The 19203-nt window shown below is 50.1% G+C and overlaps 1 protein-coding gene across 20 annotated transcripts in view, besides 3 other annotated features; it reads left to right on the plus strand.

Annotated features, from left to right (window-relative positions):
- The window catches only part of BCORL1 (BCL6 corepressor like 1), a 77759-nt gene extending 63395 nt beyond the window's left edge, over positions 1 to 14364 (plus strand). For all 20 annotated transcript variants that reach the window (XM_005262453.5, XM_006724777.4, XM_047442344.1 and 17 more), the window contains 3 exons: positions 7010 to 7087; positions 8153 to 8309; positions 12147 to 14364. In XM_005262453.5, coding sequence (XP_005262510.2) covers positions 7010 to 7087; positions 8153 to 8309; positions 12147 to 12429 — 518 coding nt within the window. In that variant the 3' untranslated portion in view covers positions 12430 to 14364. The remainder of the gene's footprint in view (positions 1 to 7009; positions 7088 to 8152; positions 8310 to 12146) is intronic.
- Positions 16522 to 16781: a silencer, noted in NCBI's record as "silent region_20986". NCBI's record gives its function as "represses an Ori minimal core promoter by ATAC-STARR-seq in GM12878 lymphoblastoid cells {active_cell/tissue: GM12878}" and the evidence as "EXISTENCE:reporter gene assay evidence [ECO:0000049][PMID:35858748]".
- Positions 16802 to 17101: a silencer, noted in NCBI's record as "silent region_20987". NCBI's record gives its function as "represses an Ori minimal core promoter by ATAC-STARR-seq in GM12878 lymphoblastoid cells {active_cell/tissue: GM12878}" and the evidence as "EXISTENCE:reporter gene assay evidence [ECO:0000049][PMID:35858748]".
- Positions 17122 to 17191: a silencer, noted in NCBI's record as "silent region_20988". NCBI's record gives its function as "represses an Ori minimal core promoter by ATAC-STARR-seq in GM12878 lymphoblastoid cells {active_cell/tissue: GM12878}" and the evidence as "EXISTENCE:reporter gene assay evidence [ECO:0000049][PMID:35858748]".

Raw genomic sequence — 19203 nt, forward strand, 5'->3', positions numbered from 1 at the left:
GGGACTACAGGCGCCCGCCACCATGCCCAGCTAATTTGTTATATATATATATATATATATATATATATATATATATATTTTTTTTTTTTTTTTTTTTTGAGACGGAGGCTGGAATGCAGTGGCAGGATCTCGGCTCACTGCAAGCTCTGCCTCCCTGGTTCACGCCATTCTCCTGCCTCAGCCTCCGGAGTAGCTGGGACTACAGTCGCCCGCCACCATGCCCGGCTAATTTTTTTTGTATTTTTAGTAGAGACAGGGTTTCACCGTGTTAGCCAGGATGGTCTCGATCTCCTGGCCTCGTGATCCGCTCGCCTCGGCCTCCCAAAGTGCTGGGATTACAGGCGTGAGCCACCACGCCTGGACATTTGTTGTATTTTTAGTAGAGACGGGGTTCACCATGTTGGCCAGGATGGTCTTGATCTCTTGACTCTCGTGATCTACCCGCCTCAGCCTCCCAAAGTGCTGGGATTACAGGTGTGAGCCACCGCGCCCAGCCTGATTTTAATTTTTTTACTTTGCTGTCTGGCTGAGGTATTTAAAATGCTTTTGGCTTTTTGTCCCCAAGCATTTGCTTGACTAGACCCTCTGTTGATTAATTGTCTTCATCTTCCCCTAGTGGAGTCCAGCTGGGCAGAAAATGAAGGAGAATCCCTTTAGGGTGCACAGGGCTCCATTTTTGGCGGGAGGAAAAGGTGAGCATTAGCGTCAGGGTTATGCCTCATGTAGCGCTTCCCTGGCTGTGTGCAAAGGCCCCTGTTGTGGAAAGTTGTCGGGGGAATCAAATCCTTTTCTCTTTTTTCTTTAATTTTTTTTTTTTTTAAGATGGAGTCTCGATCTTGTCGCCCAGGCTGGAGTGCAATGGCACGATCTTGGCTCACTGCAACTTCTGCCTCCTGGGTTCAAGCGATTCTCCTGCCTCAGCCTCCCAAGTAGCTGGGATTACAAACGCCCACCACCATGCATGGCTAATTTTGTTTTTTCAGTAGAGATGGGGTTTCACAGTGTTGGTCAGGCTGGTCTCTAACTCCTGACCTCAGGTGATCCGCCTGCCTCGGCCTCCCAAAGTGCTGGGATTACAGGCGTGAGCCACCGCGCCCAGCAGTAAATCCTTTTCTAAGTACAAAGAAATGTCACTGTTTTCCGGTATCCTGAAGTGAGTCCTTTTGTAAAGCAGAAGATAGATAATTCATCTGGGTTGTAAATGTAGATTTTCTTATATTGGGTTGACTTAAGGTGAGGCCCATTTCTCCTGAGATCATGAAGGATGGAGTGGCACTCCTTTATTCATTCGTTCATCCGTCCATTTAGTGAGCACCTATTAGATTTCAGGTGCTGTCCTGGGTACAGGAGGCCAGACGGTGAACCCTTTCTACCTCATGCTTGGGCTTGGAGCGCCAAGCCATCCAAACTCCCTGAGAGGCCTCTGGAAGGCCTCCCCCTTCAGCCAAATTACAGGCAGGTATGTGACTGATTTACCTTTGTCCCTTTGAAGAAGAGAGCAATATCCAAGCTGGCTGAAGGAAAACAGACTTGTTTTTCCTCGTCTGTTGGAAAGAATGTAGGGCTTACCCAGAGTTGATGCAGTTTGGTTCGGGACATCAGAGGAAGTATCAGGACACTCTGCCTTCCACCTATGAAAGGGTTAGTAGTTTACCGCTTGAAGTCACTGAATCACAGGTTATTGTTTTTCCTGCTAGATACCTCTGCCATATGACCCCATGTTGAAGACCACTAGTTTTTTGTTTTTCTCATCTTTCAAGTCCCTCAGCTGGTGAGTGAGTTAGAGGAGATGGGGAGGGGTATGATCGGACCCTGAGGAGTAGACAAACTGCTGGGGTAGCCTCTTGAATTGAGGTGAGAGGCTCTATTCTTACCATGAGGCCTGAGGGTGCTTTTTATTTTTATTTATTTATTTACTTATTTATTTATAGACAAGGTCTCACTTTGTTACCTAGGCTGAAGTGCAGTGGCGCAGTCTGGGCTCACTGAAGCCTCGACCTCCCGGGTTCAAGCAATCCTCCTGCCTCAGCCTCCCGAGTAGCTGGGATTACAGGCACACATTACCACACCAAAATAATTATTGCATTTTTTGTAGAGACTGGGTTTTACCATGTTACCCAGGCTGGTCTTGAACTCCTGAGCTCAGGTGATCTGCCTGCCCTGGCCTCCCAAAGCACTAGGATTACAAGTGTGAGCCATTGCACTGAGCTTCTGCGGGTGCTTTTTTAAAAAAGAATTTATCGAGATGAAATTCATGCAACATGAAATTAACAATTTAAAAGGAAATAATTAGGCTGGTCACATTGGCTCACACCTATAATCCCAGCACTTTGGGAGGCTGAGGCAGGTGGATCACTTGAGCCCAGGAGTTCAAGACCATCATGGGCAACAGAGTGATTCCTCATCTTTACAACAATAACAGTAACAAAAATTAGCTGGGTATGTTGGCACATACCTTTGGTCCCCATTACTTAGGAGGCTGAGGCAAGAGGATCACTTGAGCCCAGGAGGTTGAGGTTCAGTGGGTCGTGTTCATGCCACTGCACTCCAGCCTGGGTGACAGAGCAAGACCCTGTCTCAAAAAAATAAAAACAAAGCAAACAATTCAGTGACATTTAGTATATTCACTATCTTGTGCAACCACCTCTATCTAGTTCCAAAACATTTTCTTTTTTTTTTTCTTTTTGAGACAGAGTCTCACTCTGTGACCCAGGCTGGAGTGGTGCAGTGGCGTGATCTTGGCTCACTGACGCCTCCGCCTCCGCCTCCCAGGTTTAAGTGATTATCGTGCCTCAGCCTCCTGAGTAGCTGGGATTACAGACATGCACCACCATGCTCAGCTAATTTTTTTTTTTTTGAGACGGAGTCTCGCTCTGTCACCCAGGCTGGACTGCAGTGGCGCGATCTGGGCTCACTGCAGCCTCCACCTCCTGGGTTCACACCATTCTCCTGCCTCAGCTTCCCAAGTAGCTGGGACTACAGGTGCCCACCACCACACCCGGCTAATTTTTTGTATTTTTAGTAGAGATGAGGTTTCACCGTGTTAGCCAGGATGGTCTTGATCTCCTGACCTCGTGATCCGCCCGCCTCGGCCTCCCAAAGTGCTGGGATTACAGGTGTGAGCCACCGCGCCCAGCCTCCCAAACATTTTCATCACCCCAAAATAAAACCCCACACCCATTAAACAGCTACTCCCCATTCCCCCTTCCTCCCTGCCCCCCGCCCAACCACTAATCTTTCTGTCTCTATGGATTTCCCTATTCTAGACACTTCATATCAATGGAATCATACAGCATGGGGCCTTTTGTGTCTGGCTTCTTTCATGTAGAATACTGTTTTCAAGGTCTAGCCGTGTGTTAGCAGGTTTCAATTCTTCATTCCTTTTTATGGCTGACTAATATTCTCTTATGTGGATATATACGCCATTGATGGACATTTGGGCTGTGTTCCCCTTTTGGCTGTTCTGAATGGGGCTGCTGTGAGCACGCATGTACAAATACTTGTTTGAGTATCCATTTTCGTTCTTTGGGGCATATACCTAGGAGTGGAATTGCTGGACTTAGGGTACTTTTTCAAGGAAAGGATAAGAGAAAAGGGCTGGAAGCGTGGCTGGGGTGGAGGGAATCAAGGGAAAGGAAGGTCCCTCTTCATCTGGACTGTATGTGAACGTCCGTGAGGAAATGGTAATGGAAGCCACACCACCGACCAAATCTTGGAGCTCCTCCTGTGTGCCACTCATGGGCCTGTTTGAGCTTTAGCTTCTTTGCTCACGCCAGTTAACTTTTGGCTGTCTCAAAAAGGCAAATTCACCTGCAAATGACAAAGATTGGTAGTCAGTGAAGAGAATTAGAGGAATGTGCCAGAGGCTTTGAAGGAAGTTCCCAGAGAGGAGCCCCAGGAATGTGGTGAGTTAGGGCTGCTCCGATGGAATCCTTGTGTGTCCTCTTGTGGGGAAGGGGGACAGCAGTCATTTGAATGCATGTGTTTCGGCATGTTGGTTAAGCAAGCACTTTCTAGTCTCGCCTTGTAGGAATTCCTCCCTCCTTTCCTCTCCATATATTTATTAAGCTCTTACTATGTGCCAGGCACTGGGTTTAGGTACGGCAGAGACAATGGTGAACAGGACAGGCATGGTCCCTGTCTTTTTAGAACTTATGCTCTCACTCCATAATCTCCCATGACACCTAACACAGGGCTAGGCACAGAAGACACACCCACCTAACTGACAAATGTTTCTGGAAGAAACTACTTCCAACCCTCAAGTGACATGGGGTACAAAGGAGCACCTGAGCCGACAGCGGGACTGCAGTTGTTTTTCAGGGAGTGCACAGAAGATCTAATGTGCATGACTAGAGGTTTCCCACTCTGGTTGCTCAGCCATGACTCTGAAAGCTTCTCTCTGGCTGCCTTTTCCTACTGGGGGAAACCCGCCATCACCTGGAAGGTTGCTAAAGAAATGAGTCATTTCAGTAGCTCACAATGCTAATAGGTGTTCTTGTCGATAGGATGATCCCAAAGGGATATTGGGTCATGGTGGTGCTTCGCACTGGGGGAAACTAGCTCTGCTCCTTTAAGTTGGCTGCCAACTTCCTCCTGGGATTTGCTTTCTGGGGGGCACCCTCACCTCACCTGTGCCCTTTGGACTGTCTCCTGTCCGGTTGCCTAGCTGTCACCTGAGGGCTGGTGGCAATCATACACAACTAAGTCAGCTTGCCAGTTGTACAGGGTGGCATATTGGTTGAGCCATGTGTACCCTTAGATGGTACAGTTGGATTTGTCGTGAAAGCCAATGGACCTACTTTTTGTTCAGGTAGGAATAAGAGGTGAAACAATTCCACTAGGTAGTGCCTAGCTAATGAGGAGGCTAAGCGGTGGCCTTAGCCTCCTCATTTGTCTTGTCTTGTCTGTAGAGCAAGTAAACAAAAGATTGTTAAAACTTTTATTGTGGTCAAATACATAGAACCCAAAGTTTACTATTTTAACCATTTTAAAGTGTACAATTAAGTGACAGTAAGTACATTCACAATGTTGTGCAACTACCACCACTATCTAGTTTTGAAACTTTGTCATAATTTTAAAGGAAAATCCTGTCCCCATTAAGCATACCCTCCCGCTCTCCCCCAGGCCCTGGCAACCACCAATCTGCTTTCTGTCTCTATGGGCTTGCCTCTTCTGGACATTTCATCTTAATGGAATCATACAATATGGGACCTTTGGTGTCTGGCTTCTGTCACGTAGCATCCATATGGGTAGCATGTGTCAGAATCTCCTCTTAAAGGCTGAATAATATTCCACTGTATGGATATACCACATTTTTGTCTGTTTATCCATTCATCCATTGATGGATGTTTGGGCTATGTCCACCTTTTGGCTGCCATGAATAGAACTGCTATGAACGTGCACACAGAGAGGTACTTGTCTGACAACCTGTTTTTAGTTCTTTTGGGTATATAGCAGGAGTGGAATTGCTAGGTCATATGGTAATGCTGTGTTTTACCTTTTGAGGAACGACCAAACTTTTCCACAGCAGCTGAACCATTGAGTATTTCCATCACAAATTTCATCAGTTGGTGGGCATTTGGATTGTTTCCACCTTTTGGCTTTTGTGAGTGGAGTTGCTGTGAACATTCATGTATAAGTTTGTTTGTTTGTTTGTTTGTTTGTTTTGAGACAGAGTCTTGCTCTGTCACCCAGGCTGGAGTACAATGGCATTATCTTGGCTCACTGCAACCTCTGCCTCCCAGGTTCAAGGGATTCTCCTGTCTCAGCCTCCTGAGTAGCTGGGACTACAGGCGTGTGCCACCATGCCTGGCTAATTTTTATATTTTTAGTAGAGACTGGATTTCGCCATTTTGGCCATGGCTGGTTTCAACCTCCTGACCTCAGGTGATCCACCTGCCTCGGCCTCCCAAGGTGTTGGGATTACAGGCGTGCGCCACTGTGCCCGGCCTCATGTGTAAGTTTTTGTTTGAACACCTGTTTTCAGTTCTTTGGGATATATACCTAGGAATGGAAGCAAAAGGATTTTATGAAGATAAACCTGGCCATTTCCCCATGTTCTTCAAAAATGAACCAGAAGGACTTATGCTTATTTATATTACTATACATTGGAGAGATTATGATTCGATAAATGAACATTGTGACCAGCAGGGAATTAAAATCCTGGGATAGGTCTAAGATTCTGCTTGCAGGGTTAAAGCTCTACACCGTATAAAGTGGAGGTCCCAAACCTAAATGCCTTCAGGCTTAAAAGGGAGAAGCAGGCTGGGTGGGGAGTGGCGAATTGGAGCCCAGCCCGCGTGTGTCCCTGTTCCCTCCAGCCAGCTGTTGACATGCAGGAATTTGGACACAATGTTGCCAGATCAGATTTTTTTTTTCACAGAAATATTGGGAAATCTGGATTTTTAAGTGAAATTGCCCAATTTAAAAATGTCGGAAGTGGGGCCAGGCAGGGTGGCTTATGCCTGTAATCCCAGCACTTTGGGAGGCCGAGGTGGGAGGATCGCTTGAGCTCAGGGGTTTGTGATCAGCCTGGGCAACATGGTGAAACCCCATCCTTTACAAAAATGAAAAAAAAAGTATTAGCCAGGTGTGGTGGTATGCACCTGCAATCTCAGTTACTCGGGAGGCTGAGGTGGGAGGATCACTTGAGCCCAGGAGTTCAAGGTGCCGTGAGCTATGATCATGCCACTGCACTCTGGGTGGCAGAGCAAGACCCTGACTCTTAAAAAAAAAAATTAAAATGTTGGAAGCAAATTGGGATTTTTTTTTTCTTTTAAAGCACTGGGTCAAACACTAGGCAGTCAGTGGGTTAGATTGGTCTCCTGTCCCCTTGTTGGCAGTCTCTGACTGAGAACAGGAAGTGTGTGTCTCTCTGGTCACTCCTGGACTCTCTTGTGGTCCTTCCTTCCCTTCTCCCATTCCCTTAGCCCCGTATGCATGGACTTCACTTGGACATTCCTTCCCCAGCCTAACCTCCTTGTCTCACTGCCTGCTCTTCTTTCATCAGATCACCTCTCGGATCTTCAGGGCCGGGCAGAGGGTGATCCCGGTGTATCCTGGGATTTTTACAGCAGTTCTGTGTTGGGTAAGTTTTAAGTGAGATTCTTCCCACCCTTCTTCTCAAGGACAGGAGTAGCCCTGTGGTGGTATCCCTTCTTCACCTTTTAGTGGCTTACAGACCCTTTCAGACCAAACCTGAACCTGAACCCATCCTTCCCTGCAGACTCAGAAGTCATTTGTCGAAACTGGGAAATGCAGCACTGGTTTGGACACAGCCATCCCTCACTAGCCCTCTACCACTCCCCACCCTGGGCATTTAAAAAATTCTCTTTCTTCCGAGGTCCCTTTCTTCTCCCTGGCTTTGTCTTAACCCTGCCAGAAGCCTCTATGAGCACTGTCACCTATTCCAGTATTGCTCACACTCAAGAGGGACCCCACCCCTCACCTGAGACCTACCATTCCCTCCCTACCCTGCCCCCACGATGCACACGCAGTTTTTGGAATAGCTACTGTCTTCGGAGCCCTTAGCCTTCTGGCCGCAGCTTTCCTCTCCTGGAAGACCAGCAGGCCTTTATCCATGGTGGTCATCTAGCATTCGCCCTTTGGGCTAGGGACTGAAGATGAAAGGAAACACCCACTCCTACCCTTGGGGGAAGCTGGAGGGGAGAAAGTCAGGATGGAATGCAACTGGCCACACCCAGAATGTGGGCTGGGGAAAGGAACCCGCTCAGCCCCCTCTGGGCTTCGTGGGAGCCCTGCAGGCAGTGAGGTGGCTTGGGAAAGCTGCAGCTAGAGAAGGACAGGTGTTTTTACCTTGCCCTTGTCTGCTGATAGTATCTTCAGGCTTCCATCTCCCAACAGCTGAGCAGCTCATCCTTGACGTCACCTTGCTTTTGCCAGTTGGAGGGGGGAGTGATATAATAAATCTCTGGCCACACAATGATTTCTTTCAGTACTAGAACTTTCATGTGCCCTCTGAAGGATGTGAGCCATGGAACCGGCAAACCGCATCCCTGACTAGGGGCCTGTGGCCTTGTCATTTACCTCCCAACCACCACCCCTCCATGCCCCTTTATCTGCTTAGCGCATTTCTTTTCTTCGGTTTTGTACATGTATCTGAGTCCTAATCCCCTATATGCTCCCCTTACAGAGGAAAAAGACGGGTTTGCCTGTGACCTCCTACATAATCCTCCTGGGAGCTCAGATCAAGAAGGAGACGATCCGATGGAGGAGGATGATTTCATGTTTGAACTCTCAGACAAGCCTCTTCTCCCTTGCTACAACCTCCAAGTGTCAGTGTCCCGCGGGTAAGTGTCCGAGAGATCCACGGTGACTGAGTGTCAGGATCCTGGCACTCAGTAGGAAGGTGGAGTTCTCCACGAGGAAGTGAAGACCTGGCAACGAGTGCCATCACACATGACAAAGGCTAGCCTGCCCTTTTAGCCCAGAGTAGTCATGTTCAAACTAGAGGCTGCAGGCTCCATGGACATTGACTATCTGCATTTCCTGAACCTTAAATCTAGATTCTCTCTCGGAAGGCTTTTTTTGCACTATTACTGGGTATAAAAGATAATCTGAGAGATACTTGGGCCTATGAACTGCTAGAATCTCTGGAACATTTTTGTAGTTTCTGGGGGTAAACAGATAGAACATTAGAAATTGAGATTGCTGGAAAAGCCAGGACATATGGTTGCCATAGCCATGGGGCCACTAGGGTCCTTCAGTAATCCACAGCCTAGTTTCTCAGTGCTGTAATGTTAGTAGCGTGGTGCTGCCAACATTGTCAGCCTAGATGACTGTGCATATTATATTGGGGATCACCCATTTATTTAAGGAGACTAGAATATAGAATATACCTGACACGTAACATTAGATTGAACCCAATTTAATACTTATTTGATGGTTCTGGAGGGAGTTCGACAGCCGGCAGGGCCATGGCCCTTGTTGGGTTTCCCCACATGTCAGCGTGTGGAAGTGCTGGTTGAGAGAAGGAGAATGCGGGCTGAACTGCCCTTTTATTCTTAGCCTCCATGATTTTTTCCCTCTGATTGGTGTCTTCATGTATTTCAAATACTTTTCCGAACAATTGTAAGGATAATTTTTCTTTGATATCTATTTTTAAAATGTCAACTCTATGTTAAAATCCTGTGAACCAGTGGCTGGTCGCAGCAGTTGTAATTTCAGCACTTTGGGAGGCCGAGGCAGGTGGATTGCTTGAGGCCAGGAGTTCCAGACCAGCCTGGCCAACATGGTGAAACCTCGTCTACTAAACATACAGAAATTAGGCGGGCATGGTGGCGGGTGCCTGTAATCCCAGTTACGAGGGAAGCTGAGGCAGGAGAATCGCCTGAACCTGTGAGGCGGAGGTTGCAGTGAGCTGATATTGCCTGCTACACTCCAGCCTGGGCGACAGAGTGAGACTCCGTCTCAAAATAAAATAAAATAATAAAATAAGTCAGTGAACCAGCATGATGTGCACAGGATGGGGAGCTAGGTAGACGATGGATGAGGAGGTCTTTAAGTGAGAGCCTCTGTTTAGGGCTCTAACCATTAGACCACAGTTTCTTTGCATCCCCTGCCCTCCCCCCCACCACCCCACACGCATAGCCTGATCAGAATAAAAATAGCATGTATGATGGCACTAGTAGGGATCAAGTTTCAGGGGCTTTTGGTCCTTATTCTTCTGGGCATAAGCTGATCCCTGAGGACAGGGCGGGGCCTCTGGGATATAGTATTGCACGGTTAATTAATTCCTCCGATGTATTCAGCACCTCCCTCTCTGAAACAGGATCTTGGGCTTCAGGCAGTAAAAGGACCAGGGTAGTCTGCATTAGGTGCAGACAGAACACGGGCCACGGAGGGCTGCGTGCCCCTCAGCGAGCTGAGTGGCAGGCACGTGGTTAGCCCAGAGCCCGGTACCAGCAAAGCTGGTTTTCCTGACGTGACATCCTCTAGCGCTCGCTCTAGAGCTGCCTTTCCCCACAGCTGCAGCACACTGTGAAAATGTCTGTTCTTCAAGAAGTTGGGGGTGGGGGTGCTAGCGTAGAGTGATGCCTCTGAGGCCCTATGGGGTGCAGAAGGGCCTTCTGAATCACCAAAGCAAGACTGAATTCTCATCACTAGTGTGAATGTTCTCAGGGCTTTTTTCCATTCTTTGGAAGTGATGGTCCAAGTGTATGATATCTGTAGTCCCCTTTTCTTAACCCAGAGCCCTCCATTTCCTACTCATGTGAGATAAGAGCTTGCTGTCATTTGGGAGAAATGTTCCATTTTAGGGATAAGGATCGTGGGTCTGGTTAGATGTTTAAGGTGCTGGAACAGAACATTTGATTCTATAAACATGTCTTAAACAGCTGCACCAGGTCAAACCCTGGGGACCTTCAAAGAATCCACCATCTAGTGCAGTAGACAGACAAGTATATAATTAACTCTAATAAAAGACAAAATGTCCTAAGCAGATTTATTATAAAAAACTCCAACAGTTTCAGAAGGGTGTCAAATGCAAAAAGTTCCAGTCCACCCTGAGCCCCCATTGCTATGCTGCAGAGTGAACCACAGTTTAAGGTTCTTTTGCAACCCTTTCAGAAATGGGTTTTGTTAGTAGTATTACAATAGGGATGTGAATCAAATGCCACGAGACCATGGGAGATGGAAGAACAATGAGTTACACCGGGGGAAGGTTTCACAGGTGATACAGTATCTACCTGAGCTGGGCCTGGAAGGAGAGAAGGATGGAGCAAGGCACTGAAACATACAAGTTCAGAAAGTAGGGGGAGTCCTTTATCATGTGGCTGGTGCTTGGTAGGGTGGGGGATACAATGTGGGGTGTGTGTGTGTGTGAGAGAGAGACAGAGAAAGAGAGAGACTGGGTGGACATTGGGCTGAAGAGGTTAGAAGGTCTCATATAATATCATGCTAGTGGCCGGGCATGGTGGCTCACACCTGTAATCCCAGCGCTTTGGGAGGCTGAGGCGGGTGGATCATTTGACGTCAGGAGTTTGAGACCAACCTGGCCAACATGGTGAAACCCCATCTCTACTAAAATACAAAAATTAGCCAGGCGTGGTCGTGGGTGCCTGTAATCCCAGCTACTCAGGAGGCTGAGACAGGAGAATTGCTTGAACCTGGGAGGTGGAGGTTGCAGTGAGCCGAGATTGCGCCACTGCACTCCAGCCTAGAGACTCCGTCTTGGAAAAAGAAAAAAAAGAAAAGAAAACTGTAATGGTAACAGAAGATCCAGTGAGGGTGGGTGGGGGTGCAGAAGAGTGACTCTTGGCAAAGGGAAACCGGTTAGGAGGCTGACAAGACAGAGCCCAGGCCAGAAGTGGCAAAGGCTGGAGCTGGGGTAGTGGAATAGTGAGGAGGGAAAACCCTGTGAACTGGGACCACTAATGTGGGGAGGCAGCGTTTCTTCCCGCATTAGTCAATGTAAGCGTTTGGCCCGGGATCGGCCTCTCCAGCACCCCTCCCAGCTGTCCCCAGGCTGCCACCCAGTCGGGTGTGCTCAGCAAAGTCAGACTCCACTTTCTGTAATGTGAGCTCTGGCCCTGCAGAAACGATGGTGCTGCTGCTGGAGAAAAAACTTGTCTAATGCATTCCAGAGCCAAAGAGAAATGCCTTTTGGATTACCCGCAGTTTAGGCCTTTCTCCACGGCTCCCCCTCTGCTGGGGAAGATCTTGGAGAGCAAGGAGGCCAGGGAAGCAAGAGTAAGAACAGGAGAAGGGAAGGCAGCCAGGGTTGGCAGGGGCGGGAGTCGGAGGAAAGACTGGTCCCAGCAGATGGCAAATGCCAGGTCACAGGGGCGCAGGCTAAGTCCCCAAGAAGCCTGCTAAGAGTTTTAGGTTCTAGAATGCCCCTTTGCCTCCTGTTTGTGTTATTTTGGAAGAGGTGGTCACTGATTGCGTGCTCACCATTTAGCTGAAAGCCGGGCCAGGCATTGCAGGGGACAGGAGAAGACATTTGCCTCAGCTATACCCAAGGAGCCTGTGGTTTAGCAGGGGACGGGGGAGCCAGACTGGCAGTGAGTTATAATGGGAGACATTGATGGTCGTGCAGCCTTTGTGGGCTTTGCAGAGTGTTCTGGGTCGGTGCCCCCACCGCTTCCTCCAGCCTCCTTCAATAACTCCCATCCTTGCCTTTGCAGGCCCTGCAACTGGTTCCTCTTTTCCGATGTCTTGAAGAGGCTGAAGCTTTCCTCGAGGATCTTTCAGGCCCGGTTCCCGCACTTTGAAATCACCACCATGCCCAAGGCCGAGTTCTACAGGCAGGTGGCCTCCAGTCAGCTGCTGACCCCTGCCGAGAGGCCTGGAGGCTTGGACGACAGATCCCCCCCAGGCTCCTCTGAGACTGTGGAGCTGGTGCGGTACGAGCCAGACCTACTTCGGCTCCTAGGGTCCGAGGTGGAATTCCAGTCTTGCAACAGTTGACCGGGAAAACAGCCCCTCCTCTTCTTTCTCCTTCCGAGTTCGCCCTTCCCCCACCTCCTTGTCTTTCCCCGACCGAGCACCAGACTGCAGAATGAGGCAATAATACGGACCAACAAGAAGCCGCCTTATCAATGCCAGCATTAGCGACTGGACTGTTTTTGTTTTTTTGGTTACAATTAGTTCTCATCTCCCTGTCGTCGTCATTGTTATCGTGGTTGCTGATGGGGGTGGAAAGTTGAACTCCATGTCTGAGGACAAGAGGTCCCGGGGGTGGTGGGAGGTGGCGCCGGGGTCCCTTGGACTGGCCTCCTTGTTCATGACCAAGACCAAACCTGGGCCCTGGATGGCCTTGGCCTGTCCCGAGGAGAAATGAGAAAATCCCAGATCTCTGAGCGCCCCCCAACTCCATTCCCCTGTGTTCTTCTGTCTTCTGTAGTATTTATTTTATTAGTATTTAATTTGTATTGTTTCATTGGTTTCTGATAAGTCTGTATCACTGTGACGATTTGAGACAACTTGTTGTATTGAGGGACTTTCTGTACCTCCTTTTCTTTTTCTTTGTTGATGAGCTCTGACAAAGCTATTCCCTGGTGTTTTTTTCCCCCACTGGGGAGGGGGTGAGGTGGAATGGGGTGGGGGAACATGGACTTGTGACTAACGAAGCTGGTTGCTGCTGGCCCAGGGCTGGGGGCTTGGGGGTAAATCCTGAGGCTTTGGTGCTCCCCCACCCACCCATTCCCGCCCTTTGCAGCAGCCCCGCTATCTTGAGATTAGTGTTGACAGGGAGGGGAGGATTGTGAGGTGAGGGGTTAATAAGTTACTCTAATAAAGGAGCGTGGAGAAGGGATCTGAGGGGTGAGGGTGGCCCCCCTCCTCACGCCTTCTTCACTGCCCCCCTCAGAGTGCACAATACGAGTTTGTTCCTGCCTCCACTCTCCCACCCCGTTCTGGCCTCCCTGTCTCAAGATACTGAGCCTCTCACCTCCCAGCCCTCAGCCACCCCCATCCCTGCCCCTTCTGAGACTCACAGCACCCCTTTCCTTCCTCTCCTCCCACCTCCTCCCTCAGCCCCTCATTCTCCTTGGGAATCTGCAGAGGGCTCTGGGACTCACTGCCGGATGTGAAATCCAGGCGTCAGCTGTTTCCTAGGCAAGGGCAGGAAAGTGGTCTCCAGCCCTTGCTCCACTCATGCCTGGGGGCCTGGGGCTGAGTGGTATCCCTACCTGGCCTCCCCCTGGCCTCTGGGCCTCCAGCGCTGGGTTTGTCGAGTGAGAGAGAGAGAGGAGCTTGGGTTGCTTCCCTGTCCCCGCCCCCTCTGTGGCATTGTCCCTCCCACTCTTATTTTTCTACCAATTGCTATTTTTCCGAACAATCCTTGTAGAGTATGTACCATCCAAAGGCAGGAGGGCCTCGCCGTGGCCGGCTCTGGTTGGAGATGGTACAGTTTTATTGTACAGGTGCTAAAACAACAACAACAAAAAAGAAAATGGAAAAAAAAAAGATTAAAAAAAAAAGGAAAAAAAAAAAGCCAGTTTGAGGATGGGACAATCTGTTCTCTAGAGGCTCCTGAGCCATGCGGGAGCATTGGTGGTTATTTTCTTTGTATTGTGTTTGTTCTTTGTTCCTGGGGGGGAAGTTCTCGGCCCCCTTCTGTAGGACTGCTCCCCACCCCCACCATACTGCCCAGTTGGTTTTGAACAGTTGTTTTCCCTTTTTAAGAAAAAAAAATACATATATATATACATATATATATATAAAGTTGAGGGGTTTTGGACTTTAATTTGTTGGTTTTGTTGGGGTTCCTGGTATTGTGTAGTTTATTTCATGTTCTGTTTGCCTTTCCTTTTTTCGCATTTGGGTGTATATTCTGGCTGCCCTTTATGTTTCATTTTAAGCAACTGGCTGTGGAGTCAAAAACACTTGCATACTGAAAAACCTGTGTCAGGGCTTCTGTCTCCCGTCTCTCTTTTTCTCTCCCGTCTCTCTTTTTCTCTCCTCCCCTTTGGGACTTTTTGGTGGTTTCAGAAGGTGGGCATTGTGATTCAGTAAATGGGGAGCCCCCGCCATCCTGCTTTGCAGCTGTGGGTCCCAAGGGGTACGATGAATAAAGGCAAGGTGGAGTGGCTAGTGAACATTGGGTCACGATCTGGAAAGAAAAAGAAAGGGGCAAATCCTGGGGGCGGGGCCAGTGGGGGCAAATGGAGCATCTGGCTCCTGTTGCTTTGGTTTGGGGTTGAAGCAGGTGCCTGGGCAGTCCTTGTTTACATAGGAGTAGCAGGGTTGGAGGAAGTAGCCTTCTCTGTGGTGGCTGTGGGAATAAGCCTCCTTAAGGAAGTCCCCTGCTTGCCCTAGGCCACCCTGCCGAGGTGGCATCTGGCTGCATGGCCTCATCACTGCCCTCACTGTTGTGCCAGTGCTCCCCACCCACGGTGCAGGCCTTCCATGGTTCTGTTTTCCTGCCACCGAGCTACCATGAAGGCAAGATGCCCATCCTGGATTTTGCAGTTTTTCCTCCCACTTCTGAAAAACAGTGGTAGAAGCTATGATTCTTGTGATTGCTGGTTCCAGAATGCACCAGTGACTGAGAGGAAGAGGATGTTCGAGAGGCCTGGGATGAGGCCCTTTGAAGCTCTATTCTCTTAGGGCTTCTCACTGTGGCTTTCGAGTCTGGAGAGCCCTGTTAGAGAGTGTAGAGGCGAAGGGATCTGTGCGTCTGGCTGGCTGGAGTCCAGCCGTCCTCAGGAGTGAACTCTAAGCTGCTGTCTTTGCTCAAGCCTCAGAAGCTTGGCTCGACCCAGGTCCAAGCATCATCCTCTTTGAACCATAGCATTAATCTTCCTCATTGGCCGTCCTCTCCCCACTTTCTGATCCCAAGGCCCTATGCAATAGCCACCTTTGTCAGATTCCCAAACAAGCCCACAGTGGTTCTGAATTCAGGTCGATCCTGTGCTTGGAACTTGCAGTTAAGTCAAGAAATCTGACATGTTGATAGGTTATAAAGCCATGTGGTGAGTATAAGAATTCAACTAGTCCCAGGATGCTATGGGAGCTCAGAAGCATGGGCAAGGGCCCTGGGAACACATCCTAGAAGAGGTGATGCCTAGTTGATACTTTAAAAAGTAGAAATGCAGGAATTAGAGGTGGCAGGGAAGAGTGTTTGAACTGAGAGGACAATCTGAGCAAAGGCTTGGATACAAGGGGAGTTAAAAGCAAAACCAAACAGCAGATTGTTTTATTGCTTTTGGGGTTCTTTGCCCACGGCTTACCTGGAGTCCCACTGCCCTTCTGCCAGGTTGGAAAGATCAAGGCAGGAAGTATGGGCCGTGGCATTAAATCTACATCCCCGGTCAGGATTGGGGTGAGGATGGCTTGGTGGCCTCTTATTAAATGATCTCCCAGTCCTTTTAGTATGGTGTAGAGGAAAGAGCCAGCACCACTCCTAACTACCTAGGCTGACCTTGGGCGAGAACCTAATCTTTCCCAGCCTTAATTGCTCCATCAGCCAAATGGAGGCCAATGTACCCACCTACTGACAGAGCATCACACTGAGGACCATAAAGATCTGTTTAGCCAAAATTAGTTCCTCCTTCATGCCGAGCTCACGAACCTATGGTTAATGAGGGTCTTATCAGAACGCTCTTTGGGCTTGAAAGAGAGGCTCTGTTCAAGTCTTGGTGGGAGGAGGGATAGTCTCCGCATCCCTATTTGGGGTAGGTGGGGTTGGGGGCGGTGGTGAATGGGGCAGTAAACTCCTGCTCGGTCCATACTCTAACCCAATAACCGGGAGGCCTGGTGGGTGTTTAACTGTGTCCTGCCCATGCAAAGACCAGTGTGTGTGTGTTTGGGAAGGGTGGGGTCCGCCCCAGGGGCGTCTGCTCAACTGCTGGGCAGGGGGACGCGAAGTGCTCGGGCCTTCTGGATCCCGCAGCAGGATCCGGGCCGGGGCTCCACTCGTTTCCCTAGCGCTCCGGCTGCCACCGCGCGGGGGTCGGCCGAGCCGCAGCGTCCGGCCTCTGGGGGCGACGTCTTTAGGCCCCGCGCCGGTCCTTGGGAGCCGGGCTCGTGCGGCGGACGGTCAGGTCCCTCCGCTAGCAAACGGCTGTCTGGGGCGCCTCGATCGCTCTCCCGCTTCACGGTAGAAGGCGGCGGCGCGCGAGGGGAGGGGAGGGCAGGCCGGGTGACTGCGACTCCGCGTGCTCACCTGCTGGTCCGCGAGGCTGAGGGAGGGGGCGCCGGGGGCGGGGCCAGAGCGCGGCTGGCCAATGGGGGAGCGCATTCGGCGGCCGGCTAAATTCCCCCTGGAAAGTGAAGGGGGCTGGGGTCGAGGGGAAAGTTCGAAGCTCCGGAGCAGCGGAGGGCTTTGGTGGCGGCCAGAACCATCCGGGGACAGTTGCAGGCGCAGGGGCAAGATCGGGGGACCGGAAGACGCCAGCCGCGGCCGCGGCCGCCTCCGCCAGGGACGGTAGGCCCAACCCTGGCTGCCCCTCCCTTCCCGGGCCCCGCCGGGCCACTCTCCCGCCATCGCTGGCTCGACAGCGCCACCTGCTGGACGTCGGCCTCCACGTCCGGCGCGCCGGGGCCCGAAGTTCTCGGAGGCTGGGACCTCAGTCTGGGAGGGGAAGGAGCTCACTCACCCCAGGTCCAGCGGCTTCAGAGCTGGAGGCAACTGCCTCTTTTGGAGTACAAGATGGGATCAGAAAGGCCTGTGACCGTCAGAATAACTTCTTGTCCCGCCCCACCCACCGGAGCTGACACTTCCACCGCACAGCCCCACCCAGGGGTGAGGAAATAGTGGCGAGGCAGTCCCTGGAAGCGGGCAGCAGCAAAGGGCGGGAGTTCGGGAGTTGCACGTGGCACCTGGTGACAGCAACGCACAGCTGGCAAGCAGCCCTGGGCTCCTCATGGACCCTGTGATCCGGGGATGTCTGTTAACACTCCAGGGGCAAAGGAAGTAGCCGCCTGCAGTGTTATAGGAGCGGGCAGAAAGCTGCCTTAGCTCCCAAGTGTGGATTGTCCTCCTCCCTCTCCTCTTGCCTGCCATAGCATAGGGCAGAAGTCTCAGAATTAAAATCAGGACCAGTTCCTTCTTTCAATAAGCATTTATTAAGAACCTACTGTGTGCTAGGCACTAGGGATATATCAGTGACTAACACACAGTCCCTGTCCTTGAGGAGCTCACAGCCTATTGGCGGGGAACCCTACATAAACACGTAATTAAAGAACTGTACTGTGCTAAGTGCTACCATAAGAGGTATTTACAAAGTGCTGTGAGGTGGCTCAGGGCTGTAATCCCAGCACCTTGGGAGGCTGAGGTGGGCGGATCACTTGAGGTCAAGAGTTCGAGACCAGCCTGGCTAACATGGTGAAACCCGTTCTCTACTAAAAATACAAAAATTAGCCGGGCGTGGTGGCACGCAGCTGTAGTCACAGCTACTTGGGAGGCTGAGGCAGGAGAACCGCTTGAACTCGGGAGGCAGAGGCTGCAGTGACCCAAGATCGCACCACTGCGCTCCAGCCTGGGCAACGGAGGGAGACTCTATCTCAAAAAAATAAAGAAAACAAAGTGCTGTGGGAACCCAGAGGAGGGAGTAACATATCAGCTGCTGGGAGATGAGGGTCATCTCTTGACTCCTGACTCCATTAAACCAAGAAAAGGCAGAGACTTACTGCCACATGACTCTGGTTAAAATGAACCTGTCTCCTGAGGTTCTCCTCTAGCCCTCTCCCATAACTGTATCAGCACAGGTTAATTGGTTTAGCTAGTTTCACACTTGGAGTAGGAAAGAAACTGGACAGGGAAGTTGCTTTAGGGGTAGAGGATGTTCAAAATAGTAACAAATTTTGAGTGCTAAGATGGGGGGGTGGGGTTGGGGATACCATGAGGGCACTGAGCCAGGGAGGGCAGGCCCAGAGCAGTGGAGCACCTGGGGTGAGTGCCTGTGCAGAGGGGAGGTCAGAGGTCACCTACCTCAAAGTTTGGTCCCCATCTCCCACCGGCTCCATCAGTAACCATTACCTTGATCCTTTGTACTGTGCCATGTTACGTGGTTGATACAGTCCCTCCCACTCCTCAAGGAGGTAATGTGCTAATTGGGGACACTAAATAGGTACAGGTCATTGAAGATTTAAGTAACAGTTTGCATTATAATAGATGTCACAGGGTGTTCATGATCAGTTGCTGAAAGAGTGGCAATTGCAATAAGTTTTAAATAACTCACTTAGGACAGACTGGTCTGGGGAGGCAGAGTCCATGAATCGAGTCTTGAAGGAGGGACACAATTTAATTGGTACTAGCAGGATAGGAAGGACATTCTGATTGAGTGGAACCAATCAGATCTTGAAGGATGGATTGTACTTTTTTTCTTTTCTTTTTTTTTTTTTTTTTTTTTGAGACAGTCTTGCTTTGATCACCCAGGTACAATCTCGACTCACTGCAAATTCCACCTCCAGGTTCAAGGGATTCTCTGCCTCAGCCTCCCCAGTAGCTGGGATTATAGGTGCGTGCCACCAAGCCCGGTTAATTTTTGTATTTTTAGTAGAGATGGGGTTTCGCCATATTGGCCATGTTGGTCTCCAACTCCTGACCTCAGGTGATCCGCCCACCTCAGCTTCCCAAAGTGCTGGGATCACAGGCGTGAGCCACTGTGCCTGGCTGTGGATGGATTTTCTTTCTTTCCTTTTCGTTTCTTTTTTTTTTTTTTTTTTTTTTCAAGATGGAGTCTCACTCTGTCGCCAGGCTGGAGTGCAGTGGCGCGATCTCGGCTCATTGCAACC

The sequence above is a fragment of the Homo sapiens genome, chromosome X, assembly GCF_000001405.40.
Source record: "Homo sapiens chromosome X, GRCh38.p14 Primary Assembly".
Taxonomy (NCBI): Eukaryota; Metazoa; Chordata; class Mammalia; order Primates; family Hominidae; genus Homo; species Homo sapiens.